This window comes from Homo sapiens, chromosome 2, assembly GCF_000001405.40.
Source record: "Homo sapiens chromosome 2, GRCh38.p14 Primary Assembly".
In the NCBI taxonomy this organism is placed as follows: domain Eukaryota; kingdom Metazoa; phylum Chordata; class Mammalia; order Primates; family Hominidae; genus Homo; species Homo sapiens.
The window spans coordinates 29,500,700-29,525,158 of record NC_000002.12 but is presented as its reverse complement, the minus strand read 5'-3'; the positions used below and the strand labels follow the sequence as shown (position 1 = coordinate 29,525,158).

At 43.0% G+C, this 24,459-nt stretch overlaps 1 protein-coding gene across 2 annotated transcripts in view, besides 2 other annotated features; it reads left to right on the top strand.

Moving 5' to 3' along the window:
• ALK (ALK receptor tyrosine kinase) overlaps positions 1-24,459 on the top strand; it is a 728,813-nt gene that overhangs the window by 396,428 nt on the left and 307,926 nt on the right. The gene's annotated exons all lie outside the window — the stretch shown is intronic.
• Positions 2,582-2,876: a silencer, noted in NCBI's record as "tiled region #9206; HepG2 Repressive non-DNase unmatched - State 22:ReprW". NCBI's record gives its function as "represses a minimal TATA promoter and a strong SV40 promoter by Sharpr-MPRA in HepG2 cells {active_cell/tissue: HepG2}" and the evidence as "EXISTENCE:reporter gene assay evidence [ECO:0000049][PMID:27701403]".
• Positions 18,511-18,706: a silencer, noted in NCBI's record as "fragment chr2:29729319-29729514 (GRCh37/hg19 assembly coordinates)". NCBI's record gives its function as "represses an EF-1alpha promoter that drives an FKBP-Casp9 reporter gene in an ReSE screen in K562 erythroleukemia cells {active_cell/tissue: K562}" and the evidence as "EXISTENCE:reporter gene assay evidence [ECO:0000049][PMID:32094911]".

Here is a 24,459-nt window from a genome sequence, read left to right as displayed (position 1 = left end):
CAAGGTCATGAATGTCACTGGTCTCCACAGGTGGATATACTCCTGACACATCTGTTATTCTGTCTCTAGAAGGACTATGGCTTCCAAAGCCACAGGGGAATGAGAAGAATACAGATGGACTAGAGAAGCCAAACCTCTTAAAGCCAGAAGGAAGCTCCATCCCATTCTTCCATTTAACTAACCATCCATCCATCCATTCATCCACCAACCATCTATCCATTATCCATCCATACATCCCATCTACCCACCTATCCATCCATCCATCTACCCATCCATCCATCCGTTCATCCATCCATCCATCCATCCACTCATCCATCTACCATCCATCCATTCATCCATCCATCCATCCATCCATCAATCCATTCATCCATTAATCCATCTATCATCCATTGATCCATCCATCCACCCATCCATCCATTCTCTTTGTACTTCACATATTGACTCTCATCTAGGTCCCAGGTTAACAACAGAGCCACAGCCCTCCTTTTTGTTCTCATGAAACAGATACTATGTTGTTAATATTCATGGTAAATATCTGTACAGTGCATGTTCAGTTTGCCAAGTGAGTCAACCTCTATCAACTCATTTCACCTTTACTATGATCTGTACCATTCATATTATTCACCTCCTTTATAGAAGAGTAAACCGAATCTCAGAGAGCTTCCATAATTTGCTTATAGTCATGGGTAACACAGGGAAACAGATCTTCTGGGTCCATTTCTTTTCTTGTGTTGTTTTCCCAAGAAAGCCTTGCAGTTGAACCTTGGCGTCACGCCTGGCTCCGAGGAAACTAAGAGCTGTTCTTATCCAGTCAGGAAAAGCTCTTCTCAGGAGGACTCCTCTGAAATTTGGTCATCTAATTCTGGCCCACAAGTCTTGAAGATGGAGACTTTGGGTTGCACACCTTTTTATGCTAGCAATGTCTGGCACACTGCCTAGCACATAGTAGGGGTTCTATATTAGGTGGATGGATAACATATCAATTGAAGCTAGTTCTAGGATGCACCTCTTCTAAAGCCTAAGCTCTGGGTCTAAAAATTAAAGCCCCGTTCAAGATCACAGAAGAGTCTCCAATCGATGAAAAGATGAAAAGTATTTTCTCCCTGCCCTCCACCCACACCCAGGAATAAATGTGCAACCCTCCCTGGGGCTCAGGAAGCAGCTGTCAAAATGCACCTCAACTGTGAAGGTTGTCATGAAGTACAAAGGACAATTCCTTTCCTGGCAGGTACAACTTTTACTCACGATTGCTTTCATTGATGGGCATAAAAAAAAAAAAAAAAAAAAAAAAAAAAAAAAACCTTCAGCTTCTGCCAGTTCTGACCTTCGAGATTTGACAGCTGAAGGCTTGTAGTGAGGCTCTTTTGAGCTGCTGCTTTTGCTTTCTCACTCTGCCCTGGATGTTTGATGGATTGAACACCAGGACGATGAGAGAACTGTGAATACCTGTAACCCCGTGCTTGTCAGAATGGCATCTTGGCCAATCCCATAATGATAAATATATATTGTATACAAAGAGAAGTCAAAATGCATAGAAACAGACACTTCTCATCTCAGAAGTGTTTACTGAGCCTCACTGTTTCCCAGTGGGGAGGGAGATGGTAAAAATAGGTGCAAGAATTTTAGTGATAGAACACTGGTGTCAAGAAATTCACTCATAGTTCATGTATGCATTCTGTCAACAAATGTCTATGAGTCATGCTCAGTCCCAGGCACTGGTTGGACTCTGGAAGCTCATTCAGCCTTCCAGGGGCTCAGAACAAGGTTTGGAGTTGGACGACAGACACAGTTATGAGGCCATAAGGAAAGGGGTGTAATGGGTGCTGTGCATTGGGTGCTATGGGAATGCTTGTGGCTGTCAGGCAAGCTAGCCCTGAGAAGGACACTTGAGCTGGCTCTGCAGGGGCAAGGGGTGTCAGGTGGATGATGAGAGGAAGACATTCCACACAGAGAGTGCACGTGTGCAAAGGACCGCCTGAGGACACAGATGATGAGCTGTGGCCACGTGATTCTCTTGGTTTCTTCCTCCCCCTCCTGCCCGGGGTTCCTTATCCTGGCTCTCTGAGTGCTCACTTTCATGTGTTTGTGGCCACTGGCTTATGTAGCAAGAAAGCCCATCCCTCTCCACAAAAGCAGTCCTCAGACAGCAAAGCCTCATCCCTAAGCCCCACAATCACCACTACCTCTTCTTGTAGCAAATGTCCTGCTGCAAATGCCCAGAAGACCTCCCTCTGAGTGCAGGCTCTCCCCTCGCTTTCACTTTCTCTCTGGTAGTATCTTCTTCCCTAACGAAAACTCCAAGTACCTATATGGACAATCTGTGCATACAACTATTTTTTACACCAGCACAAGTGGGTTTCAGTGGATGAGCCAGGACTCCAGGAATGGCCTGTTGTCCCTTCAGTCCCCACTTTGCAAGAAGAGTAGCCATGGAGATGGGGTGGGGGTTCTTTGTGGACTGCCCTTAACCCCTTTTCCACTACAAAAACCCCTACACATGCAATGTCCCCTCCTCTGAGAAGCCCTTTTAGGGTTTCTCAAATAGCATTGACCATGTAGCCTTGTGACCATTCAGTTACCAGCTTGTCTCTCCCTACAGTCAACAGGGACCCAGGGTCCTCTCCCTGTTGACTCATAAGTGCCAACACATGAAAGACAGGGAGAGAATGAGGCTGCTGGCTGGGGACGGGACAGGACCTGGCATCCCAGATAGGAATTCACGTCCCTTCCTTCATTCCCCGTAATTTGTATGATAATGAGGAAGAGAAAGAGGAAGAATCACTTGATGCTTACTCTCTGGTCTCAGCATTGTTCTAAGTGCTTTGCATGTGTCAGCTCATCTAATATTATGTGTACCACCACTTGGTGAGGGAGGCCCTAGCACTACTACTTTTACAGTGGGGAAGCTGAGGCTCAGTGAGGTTAAGTAACCTGCCTAGAGTTGCACAGCTTGTAAGGAGTAGACTGGATCTGAGCCCAGCTAATCCAGCTCCACTGTCCCTGCTCCCAATCACCACTCTATGGATGGTAACTACCCTATTGCCAGCTGATAATTAAGGATGCAGTCTTATTTATTTATCATTATTAACCATTATTTATTGTTTATAAATCCCAGCTGCATTTTTCTATGGTGTGCATACAGTCCTTCCTGTCCGCAATAAATGGCAAAGTTATAAGGCTTTGATGCACAGAAGAGGCCTGTTTTAGAGAGCAGGCAGTCCTGAGACTTATGTCTGGCACTGCCGAAGGTCATAGAGAGCCTATCCAGAAAGGCTGGCCTCCGCTCTCCTGTCTTCTGAAGCTCCATTCCAACCCAGTTGCCTTCACCTTCAAAAACCAAGTCTGCATTGAGGAGATGGAATCGGGTGATGGAATTGCCAGCTCTTTGAGCCATAAGGAAACTGTCCAGGCAACTGGAGCTGATGGCCCAAGAGTGAGGAAACACCATGACCCACTTAGTAGCCCAGTTCCCCTCTGCATTCATGCCCAGCCTCAAAGCAAACCTCCTTCTTTCTCATTACTTGGCCTGTTTCTAAGTTTGCCTTTTCCTCTTTGTTTTATTTAGGGAACGACACACATATGCCTGGCTAAACTCCTTGCTTTTACAGAAATGCATTCTCTTATGGTTCAGAGCCTTAGTGAAGAGCCATAGCAGCCTTGGGATTTTGAATTTAAAGGGCTTCACAAAGTCTACACAAAGATTTGGTGCAATGTCTATTCCTGGGAGAATCTTACATCAGTAAGCTCAGTGAATGAGTGTTCCCACTCCTTTCCAATGACTGATTGTGTTCCCCCTGCCAGTGGGGAAGTCTTGTGGTGGTGAGAAAAGGGAGGGTCCCTAGGGGAGGCCACTGAGAGCAGGCTGAGCCCAGGGCATGAGACCTACCATTGCCAGAAGCTGAAGATGTTTCTTCAGATCACTCACCTGAGGGCACCAGGTTACCTGAGGATCCAGGACCTTGCTCCACCCTATAGGGCAACTTAGCTCAAATGATGCACACATAATGGGAGTCTAAGGAAAGACCTGTGGGCCATGCTGCTTTTTTCTTAGCCCCACTGTGTGATCCAGGCTTTCAATTCACCAAAAGGAGTGTGAAGGAGAACCCACAGTCAAATTGGTATTTTGCATTGTGCTGTTCATTCTGTGGGACGTTCCTTGCAGTCCTAGAATGATCATCTCAGTGACTTCTCCTGGCCATCAGGAAGCCCCATGTTGGAATAAATGAAGACCCGGATGAGAGAACTGACAAGTGAATATCACGGGCTGTTAATCTTCAGCCTCAAATCCTTTAGGGGATCCCTGTGAAACCCAGGATCAAGTCTGAGCTGTTTATTAGTATGGCACTCAAAGCCACTGATCAAGCCTCACCCCTCCTGAGCCTGGCTCACCCCATTTCTCTGGACCCATGATTCGTTTGTATCAAACTACCCACAGTTGCCCCCAAGTGAAGCAAGCCAGTTCAAGCCATTTTGCCTTCCCTCACCTTCCCGACCATCAAGAACAATAGGTCTTCTCCTCCAAGAAGGAATCTCTTAGCTCCTTTTCCACAAAGCCTTTCTTGAGACCCCAGACCTTCTGTGAGCAGAGCTGATTGCACCACCATTTGCTGCCTGTTCCACATCTCTATGAGTGTTCTCACAGCCCTGGGCCACATTTGTTCTTTCACATGTCTTCCTCACCAACCAGGTACCCCAAGAATAGGGATGGGCATTATTTATCACTGTATCTGCAATGCCTAGCACAGTACTTGTCTCACAGTCAATAAATGCTTATGAAATGAACAAATTCCCAAATTAATTGGACCAGAAACTCTTTGAAAACTTGCGACATGGTTTTAAGAATGCATCTATAATGCTCTTGACCAAAATTCCATCTCTGTTCTTCATAACGACTCACTTCCTTCTACTCAACCTCCAATCGAAGGACTGTCTTCAGCCTGGGTTATCTCCATTTGTGGCCTTAACCATCCTACACTGCCGAGCAAATGCTGGCCTATGTTAGTCTTGGAAATGAGGTGGTTCCCATGCTTGGTGATTGCCCTGTCCGTGTGTGCCTTTTAGTTCCTCTAATTTCCTGAGCTATTTCCTGCATATTTCCTGTTCTTCCAGTCAGGACTTCTACTTAGTAATTTTCCCCCAATTCCTCCTTCTCCTTAGTTTACTAGTCTTTACATCACCACTTAACCACACTGACTTCTGTTGAGTGTTTTATCTTTTCAGATAATCTAAGATGAATTCCAATTACATTCTGTCCAACTGTTTCCTAAATATTCCCTCCATGATTTTGTTTCTCTGTCTTAGGACTAAAATTTCTCTGTGACTGCATGAAATTCTAATCGGCAGTCTGCTGGATGTTCACCTGCAGGCCTCAGAGTGATTTCCCTATCTGGAGTCTTCCAGCCTTTCTCGCAGTGGCCTGGTCACCTGCCCTGGGAGCTTCCTAGTGACCATTGGCTCATCCTCTCAGTAGATCCAGATGACTTCCATTTCTAAAAAGCCTCACTTGTCTATCAACTTTCTTGTTTAACCTCTGCCACCTTGTCTAACTTACGGACAGTCTCCAGGGTTCCAGGAGGTGGTGGCAGCAGGTACATTGTGTGTGGGATGTGAGCCAGAAAATGTGGTTGTTGGCAAAGCCAGAAATCAGATGGAAATAAAAACTCCTGTATTTCATCATATACCCAAGGTCCTTAGTTCTTGGCCTTCACCCATGACTGCCTCTCCAATTTCACAATCCTACATGACTGTTTGTGGGTTAAAGGCATAATCTAGCTAGCAGAACTTGAAAAATATTTCAATCATGGAATCATGAACCAGAAATGAACCTTAAAAGTAATTGAATTCAAATTCTTTATCCCCTACCCCAAAACAATGCAAGAGGCTCTTCCAAAGCCCATCTGGCTTTGACTTGCCTGACTCCAGCAGTAGAATGCTCACCACCTTGCAAAACAGATCACCCCATTGTACAGCAGCTTTAGCTCCCAGGTAGAACTTGCTGATATCCCCTTGGCTTTGTAACTTTGGAAAGGTAATGACTGTCTCTAAAAAGTTATTCAATATCTCCAAACCTCTTGTGTTTTATACACAAAATGGCAATAGTAATACCTGCTTACCTTGTAGGCTCTTTGTGAAAATAATGCTTTTAACAACGATAGCCAATGTGTATAGAGTATTTACCATGTTCTTAATACAAAGACATATGATTTCATTTAATACTACAGTTTCCCTATGAAGTAGTACTATGATAATGCATACAAAGCACCTAGAATCATATCAGCACCCAACACATGATAGTTCCTTCTCCTATTTCACCATGATCTGGTTGATCCTCTATTTGTCCTCTAGAGTCATACAGAGGAAGCTTACTTTCTCCTAACAAGGCAGTCTGTCTTCCCTTTGAGGATAGTTTTTATATCTCTTCTTCACTTGTTTTCCCAGGCTAAGTGATTTTAGTCTCTTCTACAGCATAGTTGCCACAGCCATATTGTTCAGAGGGATTCTTACCAGCAAAGGGGTCAGGGGACTTGTTCTTCAGTGATCTGGAACCTCCACCCGCTGATGTGGCTTAAGCCTGGCTCACCCTTTCGCTAGCTTTATTCTGCGTTTGAACCCCAGCCACCTAAAGTTGACACCGTTAGGAACCATGAAAGCTGCTGTAGCATTTCACTAAAACCATTTCTTAGACTATTTGATTCTTTTTTCTGAATGGAGAATCCTCAAGTTTTTCTTGCAGGCAAAGAAGGCCTTTCTTGTTTGCTATTGACATTCCCAAAAATGTCTGATTCGGAAAGAAATTCAATTCTGGCCCCAGCTTTCACATCATCTTGCTTTGTTTGTCATCCCTGTAGCCTGCCAGCTTTGCCCCTTTGTTCCCCTAATTGCCAGAGACATTTTTATACTGAGTAAATTGCATCAGGCCCACTGCAAAATGAATCAATTTGGGAAGAGTATGAGCTGCACTGTTGTCTTAAGTGTGCATTAACATTTAGATGCGTTATTTAAAATGGGCCTGGAGTTCATGCCAGAGAGACTGCCTCATGCCTATTCTGACTCATTCTCTGCTATTGGACTGCACAGAAGGGAACTGGGGAGCCCTACAGCCCACCACCAACCCTGTTTTATTCTCCATATCTCCAGGGAGGGCTTGAACTAGGTGAGAACTTCTAAGAGCTCAGATTTGGGAAGTAAATTTACAAACGGAGTTTGACTTGGTGGTCTCAGAGTGAAGTAAAGACAGGTGAAGGAGGAGATGAAGGGGAGGCGAGGTTCTCCTTCTCTGTCTGTCACACACCATGCACACACTTGACATCTAGCTTTAAATACAAATCATACGGCCAGAAGTCTTTGGAGGTAAAACAAAGCATACACAAAAACACAAAGGACACCAGCCAACGCTGTAGTTTAAAAATTAAGTGATGTTCTGGAACTGGTGAAAAAGCAAGGCTGCAATCCTGATAATCATGTGGTGATTTGATGAGATAATTCTTTTATCATCAGGAGAGTCAGATAATATCTCCATTAGTAGCAGGAGGTTTAAAAATTGGAGAGAGTGGCAACACCAGGACAATAGCCTGATTAATGCTTTTTCAATCACCTGGGCTCATGGCCTAAACTGGTAATGGACTCCATCCATCAAAAAATTATTCTATCTGGCATCCTGGTTTCTGAAGAAATCTGGACGTCCTCATAGAGGATTGGTTAAATGATTTAATGTGGATGAAAGCTCTTAGCACAGTGCCCCAGTAAAAGCTGCTTGAATCTATTCCGTCTATTTTAATATATGTTCAGAGATATAATGACCCACTAGATACACAAGAGAAATAAAATGACAGTTGTATAATGAAGATCTTGAAGCTCTGAGATGTATGATTATCAGCAACGTAAGGATGGCACCTTCTGGGGGAGATTAACCTGGACTCCCCGTTCCTGAGGGTCACTTCTCTCTGTGCTGCCCCTAAACCTCTCTGTATGTGACAGCCCCAGTCCCATGGAAATTCACTGGCTGTGTGTGTTTCTATCCATTTTTTCCACTACAGCCTCAACTTCATCAAAACATACACTGAACTTTCATTGTGGGGTCCCCAAAGTCCAAAAGAGTGCCTGACACAGAAGAAGTATTCAATAAATTTTTGTTGACTGGGCAGTATTTCCAAATTAAAACTCAAAATTAGTGTCATGCGAATGTGTGAGTGAAAGTAGATGATGATAAGGATATCTGATGTATTTTGTGCCAGGCAGGCCTGAAACAGTAGCATCCCTGACCAGAGATAGAAAACAAGACATACTCACTGCTAACATACTCACTGCTAACCCAGCTCATTGCTGTCAAATAACAACAGCTACCACGTTTATAGCACTTACTATATGCTGGACATTGTTCTAAATGCCTTTACCTATCTTTACCCATTTAATTTTCACAATGGGCCTGTGAGGTAACATATTATTATCCCCATTTCACAAATGAAGAGACTGAACTTGTTCAGTCACACAGCTAGTAATGAACAGAGTTGGGATTTGATCCCACAGACACCACTGCACTATATGATGTGACCCCTCCAGAAGAGATGTAGAGAGGTGGCTCCCCACTATTCCTCCCCCTTAGCAGGGGACTTCACAGTGGCCCTGGCAGGTGACATGCCAGATGCACAGGGAAAAGTACCCGTGAGAAGAGACCATCTCCCCGACATGTACCAGATGGAACAGCATCTCCACCACCTACCCAGTGGACCCCCTTCGTTCAGCTACCACTAGGACCTGGGAGGCAGGATCCTAGGCAAAGCCTCACCACATATGGTATCTGTATGGGAAAACTGAGAGCAGAACCATTGCAAGCTGGAGAGATGTTTCATGCTGTGCCCTGTTTCAGGACAGGTGTGGGGGACTAAAGGCAGTGTCTGATCTATACTCCCACCAAACCCCAACAGTGCACTTAGCAGAGGAGTTGTTTCATTCTATTCATAGGTAAAATTGGGTAATGAACCACTAAGAGGAGAGACATGTACATAATGTATTCTTAGGTAAACTGAGGCAAGATGAGGGTGACTGAGTCTGCATGCATTCTGCTGCCCTGCAGGAGCTCACTCTGAACACAGACCCGACTCCAGCACTGTCACTGTCAGAGCCCTCACCCAGGTCACTGGACCCAGAACTCACCTTAGCCCACTCGGCCAAGCTTGAGCTGGCCTTTCACAGCTGTGTAAATAGGATTTCCAAAATCTCCAGAGGAAGGGTGAAAATATCTCCCTGTTTTCTAATTGGCTTATGAAAACATCTTCCTCTAATTGAACTTTCCCCTCTTGCCTGTGCCTTTTGATGCCTATACTTAATTGTTTCTAAACAGGAAGCTAGTGTGATAAGAATTTAGTTACATCTGCATCTTCCGTGCTGAAACTATTTTACCGTATGCTTCTAAAGTTGGTTACAGGTTGATTTTGATGAGAGTAATGTTAAGTCCCACCAGTTTTGCTATAATTGATAGTCTGCTACATGATTGGGGAAAGAAAATTGTTTATTGATTTCCAATTCAAAAAGGACATCTACAAAAGTGTTTCCCACAACCACATGATCCCATTATGCCTCCCCCTATCCCCACCCCTACCATCTTGGTGAGGTCTTACCCCATGGATCACCCCTACCCTTCATCCTATCCAGGATTACCCATCTCTTTGCCTTCATTCACTCATTCATCCATTCAGTCATTAAATACTTATTTCAATACGAATTCCTCTATTATGTGCAGGGAAATTAGCTAGATGGTGAAAATAGAACAGGGGACAAGCAGAAACAGTCACTATCCTCAGGAAGCTCACATGCTAGAGAGTGAAATATATACTACATTACAATTATATGTATAATTATGTCATTGCCACAGTGATACATGACAGAGGGGTACAGGCTTGCAGGAGCTCTTGCAAGTAGGGACCTGAGCTAGGCCAGGGGCTCAGGGGAGCCTTCCCCCAGGAGGTGGCATTTGAACTCAAGTGTGAAAGATGAGTAGAAGTGACAAGTAGCAAGACCCTTTCTGGGAGTGGGAACAGCATATGAAGGACCTGAAGGGAAAGAGGTAGGATATTTTTTAGGAAATCAGGGAAAACATGCATCTGAGTCTGAAAGAAAAGAGGAGACTGGCTGGAGAGAAGGCCAGGGGAAAGGACAGGCAGAGGACTGATCAGGAATATTTAGGATCATAATCCTTATCTTCAAAGCCAAGGAAAGCTGATGTAGAGTTTAAGGATGGAACTGCAAGTCAGTTGGAGGTAGGGTAGGGATGGGTATGGGAACCCCAGACCTTTGCAGCACCACAAGGAAAGGGAGGGTAGTCCTGAATACAGAGTGAGGCATAGAGAAAAGTGAATGACTTGCAGATATGTACAAGAGACAATGGGCAGGATTAGTGATGGGTTGGATACAGGTGGGAAAGAGGAGAAGATATTTTTAGCTTGACCAACTGGGTAGACAGAGCCATTCACCAAAACAGGCAAAAATGACGGAGGCACATGTGTGGAGAGAAAAGTACAAACTTCAGTTTTGAGATGTTGAGTTTTTTGAAACTTATAAACATCCAAGAGGAAACGCATGTGGACACAAGGGTCTGGAGTTTGGAGGAAAGATGTGGACCATCTTTCCAAACTCCAAAAACCAGGAGTTGTTGGCATGCAGGAGTAGTCTTCAAGCCCTGGGAGTGTATTAAAAGGTCTAGGAAATTCTCATTGTTCAATTCCCACCTATGAGTGAGAATATGCGGTGTTTGGTTTTTTGTTCTTGCGATAGTTTACTGAGAATGATGATTTCCAATTTCATCCATGTCCCTACAAAGGACATGAACTCATCATTTTTTATGGCTGCATAGTATTCCATGGTGTATATGTGCCACATTTTCTTAATCCAGTCTATCATTGTTGGACATTTGGGTTGGTTCCAAGTCTTTGCTATTGTGAATAGTGCCACAATAAACATACGTGTGCATGTGTCTTTATAGCAGCATGATTTATAGTCCTTTGGATATATACCCAGTAATGGGATGGCTGGGTCAAATGGTATTTCTAGTTCTAGATCCCTGAGGAATCGCCACACTGACTTCCACAATGGTTGAACTAGTTTACAGTCTCACCAACAGTGTAAAAGTGTTCCTGTTTCTCCACATCCTCTCCAGCACCTGTTGTTTCCTAACTTTTTAATGATTGCCATTCTAACTGGTGTGAGATGGTATCTCATTGTGGTTTTGATTTGCATTTCTCTGATGGCCAGTGATGGTGAGCATTTTTTCATGTGTTTTTTGGCTGCATAAATGTCTTCTTTTGAGAAGTGTCTGTTCATTTCCTTTGCCCACTTTTTGATGGGGTTGTTTGTTTTTTTCTTGTAAATTTGTTTGAGTTCATTGTAGATTCTGGATATTAGCCCTTTGTCAGATGAGTAGGTTGTGAAAATTTTCTCCCATTTTGTGGGTTGCCTGTTCACTCTGATGGTAGTTTCTTTTGCTGTGCAGAAGCTGTTTAGTTTAATTAGATCCCATTTGTCAATTTTGTCTTTTGTTGCCATTGCTTTTGGTGTTTTAGACATGAAGTCCTTGCCCGTGCCTAAGTCCTGAATGGTAATGCCTAGGTTTTCTTCTAGGGTTTTTATGGTTTTAGGTCTAACGTTTAAGTCTTTAATCCATCTTGAATTGATTTTTGTATAAGGTGTAAGGAAGGGATCCAGTTTCAGCTTTCTACATATGGCTAGCCAGTTTTCCCAGCACCATTTATTAAATAGGGAATCCTTTCCCCATTGCTTGTTTTTCTCAGGTTTGTCAAAGATCAGATAGTTGTAGATATGCGGCATTATTTCTGAGGGCTCTGTTCTGTTCCATTGATCTATATCTCTGTTTTGGTACCAGTACCATGCTGTTTTGGTTACTGTAGCCTTGTAGTATAGTTGAAGTCAGGTAGTGTGATGCCTCCAACTTTGTTCTTTTGGCTTAGGATTGACTTGGCGATGTGGGCTCTTTTTTGGTTCCGTATGAACTTTAAAGTAGTTTTTTCCAATTATGTGAAGAAAGTCATTGGTAGCTTGATGGGGACGGCATTGAATCTATAAATTACCTTGGGCAGTATGGCCATTTTCACGATATTGATTCTTCCTACCCATGAGCATGGAATGTTCTTCCATTTGTTTGCATCCTCTTTTATTTCATTGAGCAGTGGTTTGTAGTTCTCCTTGAAGAGGTCCTTCACGTCCCTTGTAAGGTGGATTCCTAGGTATTTTTATTCTCTTTGAAGCAATTGTGAATGGGAGTTCACTCATGATTTGGCTCTCTGTTTGTCTGTTGTTGGTGTGTAAGAATGCTTGTGATTTTTGTACATTGATTTTGTATCCTGAGACTTTGCTGAAGTTGCTTATCAGCTTAAGGAGATTTTGGGCTGAGACAGTGGGGTTTTCTAGATATACAATCATGTCGTCTGCAAACAGGGACAATTTGACTTCCTCTTTTCCTAATTGAATACCCTTTATTTCCTTCACCTGCCTAATTGCCCTGGCCAGAACTTCCAACACTATGTTGAATAGGAGTGGTGAGAGAGGGCATCCCTGTCTTGTGCCAGTTTTCAAAGGGAATGCTTCCAGTTTTTGCCCATTCAGTATGATATTGGCTGTGGGTTTGTCATAGATAGCTCTTATTATTTTGAGATACGTCCCATCAATTCCTAATTTATTGAGAGTTTTTAGCATGAAGTCTTGTTGAATTTTGTCAAAGGCCTTTTCTGCATCTATTGAGATAATCATGTGGTTTTTGTCTTTGGCTCTGTTTATATGCTGGATTACATTTATTGATTTGCGTATATTGAACCAGCCTTGCATCCCAGGGATGAAGCCCACTTGATCATGGTGGATAAGCTTTTTGATGTGCTGCTGGATTCGGTTTGCCAGTATTTTATTGAGGATTTTTGCATCAATGTTCATCAAGGATATTGGTCTAGACCTAAACAAAATCTAAAGCTATTATAACATTTCTGGAATAAAACATAAGAGAAAATTATTGCAGACTTGGGTAAGAAAAAACTTTTTTAGATAGCATACAAAAAGCATAAACTATAAAACAAAATATTGATCAATAGGAATTTATCAAAATTTAAAACTTTTAAATATTCAAAAGATTCCATTTGAAAAATCAAAATACAAGCCACAGTGTGGGAGAAAATATTAGCTATACTTACATCTGAAAAGAACTTGTACCCACCCAATTAAGTGGGCAAAATATTTTAATAGACGTTACACTAAAGAAGATATACAAATGGCCATGAAACATATGAAAAGATGCTCAACATCGCTAGTCATTAGTAAAATTACAATAGCTAAAATTAGAAAGACTAACCATACCAAGTGTTGTTAAGGATATAAAGGAACTAGAACTTTCATATACTACTGGTGAGAATACAACATGGTATAATCACTTTGGAAAAACAATTGGAACATTTCTTTAAAAACTAGACATATGCCTACCATACAACCCAGCCATTCTACTCCCTGTCTGGACATTTACTCAAGAGGATGAAAACGTATGTCCCCACAAAACTTTATGCATTAAAATTAAGAGCAGCATTATTCACAGTAGTTTAAAACTGCACCCAAATGTGTATCAACAGGTGAATAGATAAAGAAATTGTGGTTTATCTATACTATGGAACACTATCCAACAATAAAAATAAATAAAATACTGATATATATGATAACATGGATGAATCTCAAAATTATTATGCTAAGAGAAAGAAGCCAGGCACAAAGACCACATAGTTTGTGCTTCCATTTATATGTAATTCCAGAAAATGCAAACTAATCTACTAATCTCTAATGACAGAGAGCAAGGCAGTGGTTCCCCAGGAAGCAGGGCAGGATTGACTGCAAAGGGACAAGATAACTTTTTGGAAGGTAGAGAGAGGGTTGGAGATGATGGAAATGTTCTATATTTGGAATGTAGTTGTGGTTTCTCAGTGTAACAACTATTAAAACTCATCAACCTGTACACTTTAAATGGATACCATTTATTGCACATAAGTTTTGCCTCAATAAAGCTGACATTTTGTAAAAATACCTAGAAAAAAGAGGTGAGAGTAAAATTAGTGAAAAGGAGATGAGGAAGTGATACATGTATGTACAGACAAGTGCATTGAGTGTAAGGGTGAAGGGCTAGTGAGAGAGATGGTGGCAGAGCAGAGAGGCAAAGGATCAGAGCCCACTTATTTAGCCTTACCTACCCTTCAGTCTGCCTTGCACAGTGCAGACACAGCTAGAGAACATGAGTGGTATTCCTGGGCCTCTGATTCACGAATCACCTTCCTCATGAAGACTTCTCAGAAAACATCAGCCCACTCTGTTCTCTTCCTCTCTCAACTCTGTAAAACTGTCTAGACCACAAAATAAAACTCCAGTGTCCCACCTGATCAGGTAATACCTGGAAGTTGTTCAACCATACTCTGTTTCCTCAGTCTATAAACATCCAATACTCTCTTTGTTTGCAAATTGTTTTGTATAGGTGTTTCTGGTTTCCCCAAAGAGACTGTTGTTTCACTATTAGTTATTGATTTCTTTTTGCTGCAAACATATTATAATTATTGTACACAATAAATACTTATAGCAGCCTATGAAGTAAATACTATTAATTTCCATTTACAGCAAATAAAACTAAGGCTCAAGGAAATTAAGCAACTTCCCAAAAAAGATGAACTGAGCCTATTCATAATCATTGTAGAAACAAGCTTCTTCTATTTTGGGGCCATGTTTTATGCTTTGTTGGCCCACCATTGCAAGATGCTAAACAAATATTGGTTTATTCATTGATTAATTCCTTCAACTATTATTTTTATGATTTAAAATAGCAAACACCTGCCATCAGGGACTCTTAAGGGGACTTAAGAATGCCAATTGCTAGGGACATTTCATACTTGCCAGACCAGATGAAGGAATTAAAGGAGCCACAGGTTTTGTGTCACTGCCTGGGTGGGATGAAAGAAATGGAGTCAGCTTCCTCCTCTCTGCTTACCCAGCAGCCTTTTTACTTCTTCTAGGATTTCTTCTCCTTCCCTGTGAGAGAAGCCACAAGAATGTCAGGGACTGTGGCCACCTCCACTGGCCACCTTGGCCCAAACCCAGTGTCAAGCTTCCTTTACACCCATGATCCCATAGGCAATCCTGGACTAGAGAGTGGTAACTAAAGCCACTGGGTGGTCATTCTTCTTCTTACAAAGTGCCAAGTCCCAAACCTGAACCACAAACAGATCACAATTGCTAAACCTAAAAACTACCTTTCGATTGCCTTGTAAATAAAGCCCCCTCTCTAGCTCTCTTTCTCTTTTTAAATGCTTCTCCCCAACCCTACCTTTATTCTTTCTGGTTCTCCAGTGTCCCCAAAGTCTGCACTATAATTGCATATCTAAAAGGTTATTTTAGTTGTTGTAAAAGGCATTCCATTAGAAATAAATTGGAATAAAAGAAGAGAGACATGTTAAGAAATATAGATTCCAACTATGTGTCTTTGATTTTTGCATAACTTAGGGTGAGTCATGGTTCTTTGATGAAGCAGTTGGCAGAGGAGGTAAGGATTCATTCATGAATAAAAGTATAAAAGTTCCTAGGATTCATGAGGACTCAGAGAGAGATAGTTGCCTGGAAGGTAGAAAGGCTCTTTTCTTCCAGATTTCAGACTTAATATTCACTGAAAAGCATGAGAGAAGGAGGGACTGAAAGGGATTGTACAAGCAAGTACAGAAAGCTTTCGCTGATCTAATTTACTCTTAAAACAGCCTTCTCCATGGTTGAAGGAACCCCTGTTCTCCTTAAGCCTTTCTATCTCAGCTACATTTTTGAAAAATAAGCTTCTTTTAATCTATCAGGGGAAACCAGGGATGTGTTGAGGATGCTTCTGTGAGAGATGAAGCCGAAATCAATAATGCTGAAAAAGGTCAAAGCTAGAATTGTTATTTAAATGTTGAGTGTCCCCAAATTTACTACAAGTTGCTTATAAACATTTACAAAATTGACTCTCTTTTCCCTCTAGAAGTTTCCATGACAGAAAAGCCTCCACACATGACCATGGGCACCTGGTCTTCTCATAGCAGGGCTTATGTATCACTGTTCCCCTCCGTCCACAGATGGGCATACCTGCACACGCTACTCACATCCATTTCTTTTTCCCTTTCTATTAAAATAAAAATACACACTGAATTAGAATCACCAAGAAAGGAGCCTGGGCATCTTTTTAATAATGCACACCTTGATGATCTCCATGACTGGGCACGCTTGGGAGACGCTGAATTAGATGGCTTAAGCAGAACTTCTCAGCATTTGTTGTGCCTGTGAATCACCTGGGGATCTAGTAAAATGCATGTTCTGATTCAATAGGTCAGGGATGGGCTGGAAGTCTGGATTTCTTTTTTTTTTTTTTTTTTTTTTTTTGAGTTGCAGATATGGGATTTTTTTGGGTTTTTTTTTTATTATACTCTAAGTTTTAGGGTACATGTGCACAACATGCAGGTTAGTTACGTATGTATACATGTGCCATGTTGGTGTGCTGCACCCATTAACTCATCATTTAACATTAGGTATATCTCCTAATGCTATCCCTTCCCGCTCCCCACACCCCATGACAGGCACCAGTGTGTGATGTTCCCCTTCTGGTGTCCATGTGTTCTCATTGTTCAATTCCCACCTATGAGTGAGAACACGCGGTGTTTGGTTTTTTGTCCCTGCGATAGTTTGCTGAGAATGATGGTTTCCAGCTTCATCCATGTCCCTACAAAGGACATGAACTCATCATTTTTTATGGCTGCATAGTATTCCATGGTGTATATGTGCCACATTTTCTGCATTTCTAACAAGCTGACGCCTATACTGCTCTGAACAGACCACTTTCAGTAGCAGGAGTCAGAAAGGAAATGCGTTGGGTGTCCACATGCAGATGTTAACTGAAGCTAGAGGCCAGAACAGTTTCAGAGGGTCCACGTGTACTTTCTGCTTGCCTTGAACATCAGATCAGTGACGGTGGAAAAGCCTCTCAAGAAAGCCAGCCAGACCCTGTAGGGTGGCAGTTTCTCAGTGCACTCCCCAAGTTCTAGATCAGACCCTCAGTTTGGTGGGGCCAAACATGCTCAGGACTCAGGCTAACCACACTCACGCAAGACATGTAAGTCATGAATAGGATTTTGAAATGTCCAATAAAACATACAGTGATTGGTGTGAATTCACTCCTTGACCAATCAGTGCATTCTCTGACTGCCGGCAGAGCCACGCTGGGGGCCAAGATAACTGATTATGATCAGTAGGTGGTTTGGTGAACAGGCCTTCAGATACATCAACTCATTGACATCATGGCCCCTCTCTGTACCATGAGGGCCATCTTAAGTCAGGACTCAGTCAGCTTGTCCTGCCTTTCCTGCTCCTATTCTAGGAAGTTCTTGCTTCTCTAGATTTGTTTGTGTTCAACTCATTATTGCATCCTAATCCCTCCTAAACCCCAGGTGCTATCCTGAGCACAGAGGCCATAGAAATGTTAATTTTAGTCAAACCCTGCTCCTCCTGATTTGGGCCTGGCCTGGAAGTCATTTCTGCCTCTTAGTTTTTTCCATTTTTAATTATTTAACAGTGGTAAAATGCACATAAAATTTACCATCTTAATCATCTTTAAATGTACAGTTCAATAGTGTTAAAGTACATTCACATTGCTTTGCAACTATCACCACCATCTATCTCTAGAACCTTTTCATCATCCCAAACTGAAACTGTGTACCCAATAAACAATAGTTCCCCACTTCCCCCTACCTCCAACCCCAGGCAACCACCACTATACTTTCTGTCTATATGAATTTGACTACTCTAGGTACCTCAAAAATGTAGAATTCGATGGTATTTGTCGTTTTGTGATTGACATTTCACTTAGCATAATGTGCTCAAGGTTCATTCATATTGTAACGTGTGTCAGAGTTTTCTTCCTTTTTTAATGCTGAATAATATTCCATTGTATGTATATACCACATTTGGTTTATTCATTCATCTGTCAATGGAGACTTGAGTTGCTTTCAACATTTGACTATTGTGAATAATGCTGCTATAATCATGGTTGTGCAAATACCTCTTCAAGACCCTGCTTTCCCTTTTCTTGGATATATACCTAGAAGTGGAATTGCTGGATCCTACGGTAATTTGGCTTTTAATTTTCTAAGGAGTTACCATGATGTTTCCATAGTGGCTGCATCATTTTACATTCCTACCAGCAGTGCACAAGGATTCCAATGTCTCTACATCCTCACTGATATTTTCACCTCTTCCTTTAAGTGTCTTTGTCAGTTACAAGCTGGGTCATTCCCCAGTGTCCCACCCAAAACACTGTTTCGGTCTTCTTTACCCCATCCAAATCCTGCTTAACTTTTTTTTTTTGTTTTGTTTTTGAGACGGAGTCTTGCTCCGTCACCCAGGCTGGAGGGCAGTGGCACAATCTCGGCTCACCGCAAGCTCTGCCTCCTGGGTTCACACCATTCTCCTGCCTCAGCCTCCTGAGGAGCTGGGACTACAGGCACCCACCACCAGGCCTGGCTAATTTTTTGTATTTTTAGTAAAGATGGGGTTTCACCGTGTTGGCCAGGATGGTCTCAATCTCCCGACCTCATGATCCACCCGCCTCGGCCTCCCAAAGTGCTGGGATTACAGACATGAGCCAATCCTGCTCAACTTCTAAAGCTAAGTCTCATATTTTCTAAAAAGTGCAAAGCATTATCCCCTGATGAGCTCACCCTGTTTATACCTGATCATGAGTGTCTCATTCTCTAATCGCCTTCTATTACCCCACTAGAGATCATATTCTATGCTCCTTGGCTTGATCTAGCAGTAAAAAGCAATTGGTATTTGTTGTAGCTTGTTTGATAGAATAATATAAAGAAAAGCAAGAACCATGCAGAATTGGAAAAAGGGATTAAATGCCCAAAGTTTGATCCCTGATCTGAGAACTCTGTACAAGGGCAAAGGAAATCAAGTCCTCTTGCCACCAGAAAACTATCTCTCGCAGAGACTTACGTAGAGCCTCTGTACCCACCTAGTCAGCCGTTCCTTCCTGGCCACAGTTACCTAGGGGATCACTGGCCCTAAAGATCATCGGGTGAGGTGAGATGCCTCTCAGAAAAAAACTGGCTCTGGAAGAGCTAGCCGCAAATCTGTAGCAAACCTGAACTCATTATTTCGGGGGATTGCTGCACGAGTCCATGTGGGTTTTATTACAATATATGCAGCCACTTACATTATGTCAGGCCTGAGTTTTCTTCTATATTCATTCACCCCATGAATGGATGTTGCTGACTGCTGAACCAAACCAAACTGACTTTTTTTTTTTTTTTCAATTAGTGTAGCTGCCTTAGATTATGGAAAGAGCTGAATGGTGCTGGTGTTGGCCTTTTAGAATGGTGATTTCTCTGCCATTCCATGAATTATCTGATGTGGCTGCCCTGGGCTGCCCTGCACCCATTTATTGGTATGAAGCAAGTGCCTGAAGCCTACAGCCACTGTAAACAGGGCCTGGGACAACCAGGAGCCCAGTTTCAGGGTCCTTTCAACCTCTTCCACCCACAACAAGGTTTCAGTCATCTCAGGAGTGCCTGGCCTAACGTAGAACTCCCCCTAAGCTCCCCAGAACCTGATGGAACCAGGAGTGCTGGCAGAAGGAGATATTCAGGACATCTAGTACGACTTCCACCTGGCATTTGAAGCCCCTGCCAAGTACTTATCAGTCCACTTGAACTTCTCTTGTAACAGGAAGCTCACCGCCCCCAAAGATAGTTCAATCATCTTGAGATAGCACATTCACTCAGGCACCATTGATGACCCAACAGTCTACACAGCAGCAGGTCCCTGGACCCCCTTCCCCTCCCCCAGAGGCATGCTGGGGGCTGTGTGGCTCCCAGGCAACCCATCAGGGTGTCCCACCCAGTAGAGAATTCACAGCCTTCTCACCTGAGAACCCAGAGCAGGCTGGCTGCTCCACTGAGAGCCCAAAGGCTATCAATTTACTCTCAGCCCATCTTGCCTCCCTCACCCTGGTCCAATTACTAATGCCTCCCAGATAATAACTGCATTTTCCTTCACAATCCTAACCACACTGGACCTTGGAGTGACCACAGGCCACAAGTAGTCTGGGGTCTCTGCCCCACCTCCAGCCCTCATCCTTGCTTGCTCACTGTCACAGTCACCCTGGACTCACCCCATGCCTCCAGGCTCCTTGCCTCCCCCTCTCTACCCAGCCGTCAAAGTGGCCTTCTATTAGGATGGTGCAAAGGTAATTGTGGTTTTTCCCGTTGGAAGTAATGGCAAAAACCGCAATAACATTTGGACCAACCTAATAAAATGCCAGCTTGACTGTGTTATTCTTCTGCTTAGCATCAGTCACTGGCTCCCTATCTGCTATGGGATCAAGTCCAGCCTTGCTGATGAGCCTCGAGGTCTCTCTCATTTCTCCATTTTACTCCACCCTTCACTGCCTCTCTCCTTGTTCAAGCATTACCCAAGGCTGCGATTCTTCCTCATCTCCTCTTCACTCTTCACCCCATATCCCCCATGAGAGCAAACCCTGTCAATTCCATCTCCAAAATATACACTTACCCACTTGCCCCTCCCTCCTACCATCCTAGCCCAAGCCACCATAATCTCTCACCTGGTCAACTGATACAGCAGTACCTCCTGACTGGCCTTTCTAGCTCCACTTTTGCTCCCTTCTTTCTCTGCACAGCAGCCAGCATAATAAACATCAAAAATGTAGATCAAGTTATGCCAGCAGGCCACCTCACTATAAAACCTTTGCATGGCTTCCCATTGGTCTCAGAAAAAAATCTCAGCCTAAAGCCCTGTGTGACCTGGCTCTGCCCACCTCTCTGACCTTCTCTCACACAGCGTCCCCACACTGGCTGCCCATCTGTTTCTCCTGGCCACTGGCCCTTTGTACTCACTGCTCCCTAGCATGCAACACCTTCCCTTGGCTCTATACTGTCACCTCCCACTCATCCTTTGGAGCTCAGCTGGAAAACCACCACCTCAGGAATTCCCACTGTGATCTGTGTTTTCCTCTGTCTCAGTGTTGTGTTTAGCTCCTTTTAGCACCACCAACAACTGGTAATTAATTAATATATTTGGTTCCTTGTTTATTGTCCAAATCACCTCACTATTAGGTTGGTGCAAAAGTAATTGCAGTTTTTGCCACTGAAAGTAATGGTAAAAACCACAATTACTTTTGCACCAACCTATAGAAAGAAAGCTCCATGAGGGCAAGAACTTTATGGATCTCATTATATCCACAGTAACACAGCACTAAACACCATTCATAGCACTTAGTAGAAGCTCGATAAATTTTGTTAATTTAATGCCAAATAAATCCAGCCCCTGCTGCTTCTCCAGTGTTCCTTCTGCCACGCCTCACCCCATGCCCACATCCCAGCCATGTTGCCTGGGATTCCTGAAGATGCAGCTGTTTTAGGTCTCTGCCTTCACTCATGCCCCTGGGCTGGGATTCTTAAGCCAGAAAACTCCACTGATGGAAATGTTACCTCCTCTCTAAAGCATTTCCAGGTTCCCCAAGCAAAGTCATTTGCCCAGATCTCTATGTGCCATGGTACGGTGCCCATGCATTGTTCTTTCTCTTGGAAACTTGGTTGTAATGATGCTTTTTCATATCTGTATCCTCTGTGAGATCTAATTTCCCTGATGAAAGATATCACGGCTTTTCCATCTCCACCAACCTTCACTCATAATCAAATACAGAACCTGGAGCATATTAGTTGTTCAACAAACATTTGTTGAAATGATGAATGAATTAAGTGGAAGAGCAGTCCCTGGATATAAATCCAATAGACCAGATCCCTAATCCCAGCTCCCTGGTAACCTGAGTGACCCGTAATACCACTTGTGTCTCAGTTTCTTCAACTGTAAAATGGGAATCATAATTTGTTACCTATCTATCTCATAAGTCAGTTTAAGATGAAAATAAAATAGTAAATACCAAAATAGTTTGAAAACTATAAATTCATTCATTTAAACAATATCTATTAAGTCCTTACTCAGTGCTGAGGCACTTGAGTTACAACTGCGAAGACATCATCCCTTGAAGAGTTCCACGTCTTCATACTGGCATATGATTACTAGTTAGTTGCCCACCCTGCATAAAGACAATCTACCCTGAACTGTCTTAGTTCTTGGTCTGCAGCATCTTTGCATTAATCTTTTGCTTTTGGATTCACTGCATACCTGTTTACTCTAGTTTTACTGGAGGTCTCTGCATGCATTCCAGCTGTAATCACGGCTGAATGATTCCCTCACCAATCCTGGTTCCACTTCAAGAAAACTGTCAGCAGTACACACAGCACCCAGCCCATCCATCTGTGTAAAGAGATAATGTAATTCTAAGCCAATATTTAACATTGTAGGATGAGGCATAAACTCAATATGCTTTCAGGCGGAGTAAAAAAAAAATATGTGCCCCATCTCATTAATCACAATAAGAATGAGGGATGGGGCAGATACCCAGGCCGGTGCTGTTCCTCCAAGTTAATCTGTCTTAATACCAAGCCCTTGATAAAAAGAATGCCTGAGTCATTGTTCTGCTTGTTTGATGGCAATTTACATTGGGGGAGCTCAAGATTTATGAAGTAACAAGAACCTCTGAGTAATAAAACGTTGAGTGATCCATGCTCTGTTTGGAAGTCACTTCTACTGCAAACACTCTCTGGGGATGAAACTTCAAGAGAAGGATTTCAAGAGAAGTTATGCATTTACAAAACTGATCTTTTACAAGTGCTTATTGGGTTCATTCATTCATCCATTCATTCAGCAAATCTTAACTATGCATTAACTCTGTACAAAGCTCTGTTAGGGGTTTGGGGACCACCAAAGAAGCCAGCAATGGTCTGTACCCTCAAGGGACTCGCATTAGAGAAGTTGTGACTCAAATTCGTTACTAAGGGTGCTGCATGGACTATATGCTTCGCAAGAGCAGGGATGATGCCTGTTTTATTCTCCAGCGTGTACCTGTGCCTATTACAGGACCTGGCAAAGAGGAGCTCATTAAAAATTTGTTAAATGGTAAGTGTCCATCAAGAGATAAATGGATAAACAAAATGTGGTACAATGGAATATTATTCAACCTTGGAAAGGAAGGAAATTCTGACACCTGCTACAATGTGTGTGAACCTTGAAGACATTATGCTAACCAGACACATAAAGACAAATACTATACAATTCCACTCATGTGAGGCACCATATGGACAGAAAGTAGAATGGTAGCTACCCAGGGCTGGGAGTAGGAGGGAATGGGGAGTGACTGCTTAACTGGTACGAAGTTTCAATTTTGCAAAACGAGAAATGTTCTAGAGATGGATGGCAGTGATCATTGCACCACAGTGCAAATGAACTTCATGCCACTAAACTGTATACTTTAAATGGTTGAGCTGGTATATTTTATGTTATGGATATTTTACCACAATAAAAAAAAATGTTTTCAAAAGGGCTAGCAAGAAATCCAGAGAGAGCTTGAGGCAAGGGATGAAATGGAGCTTTCCACAGAGATGAGGCTATTGAGGGGAACCTGTACTTTCCCCCGGAAGGAGGAAGAAGAGGACATGAAGCAGTGCTAAGGACACCCCCTGGGCATCCTCCAAAGAAAGGAGGCCACGGGAAGAGTGGTGAGAATTTGCAGGAGCAGCAAACCAGTAAGGACATGGAAATGAAGCGTCGGAGAGTTTCAAGGACAGTTCTTTCAAGGATTTCAGCAGTGTGCAAAGGCCTTTGGCTTTGACAAGTAAGAGGTAACAGATGACCTCTGGTAGAGCATCTCCAGAGAATTGTCGGCATGGAAGTGAGGCTCACAGGATGAATGCCAAGTAAATGAGGAATAAGACATTGACATTCAGTAGTGAAGGAAGGGGAATGATGGTGGGGACTTGAAAGAATCAGTGGAGAGGACAGAAGGAAGACTTAGCAAGGGACAGAGGGACTGAAGAGATGTTCTAGAAGGATCCAGAAGGGCTTGGAAGGATGAGCTGGGGGAGTTCTTCTCCCCATGCATCAGAGGTCAGTATAAGAAGATGAGAGAAGAGAGGTGTCAGGAAAAAGCAAGGGGAAGAAGAGGGTATTTAAGGGCTCCTGGGGGACAGCCCAGTCTCCCTTCTCAGCAATGCAGGAAGCAAGACCAAGTGCTGATAGTGGGAAGACAAGAATATGCCAGAAAGGAGGTGGGGAGTTGGGGACTGGGGTTGTGTCAATGTGGTAGGGAGCAAATCAGAGATGAGCAAAGCATTAGATCCAGCTGAGACCAGAGCCCCTGTGTATGCAAGGATCCCAGAAAGCCTGGAGAAATGGCAGCATTGGGCTCCTGGTAGCCTGAAGGAGAAGAGCGAAGGGAAGATTTAACCAGCTGGGGATGGATGAGACAGGGTCAGCACAGGCCAGAGGAACATGCTTCTC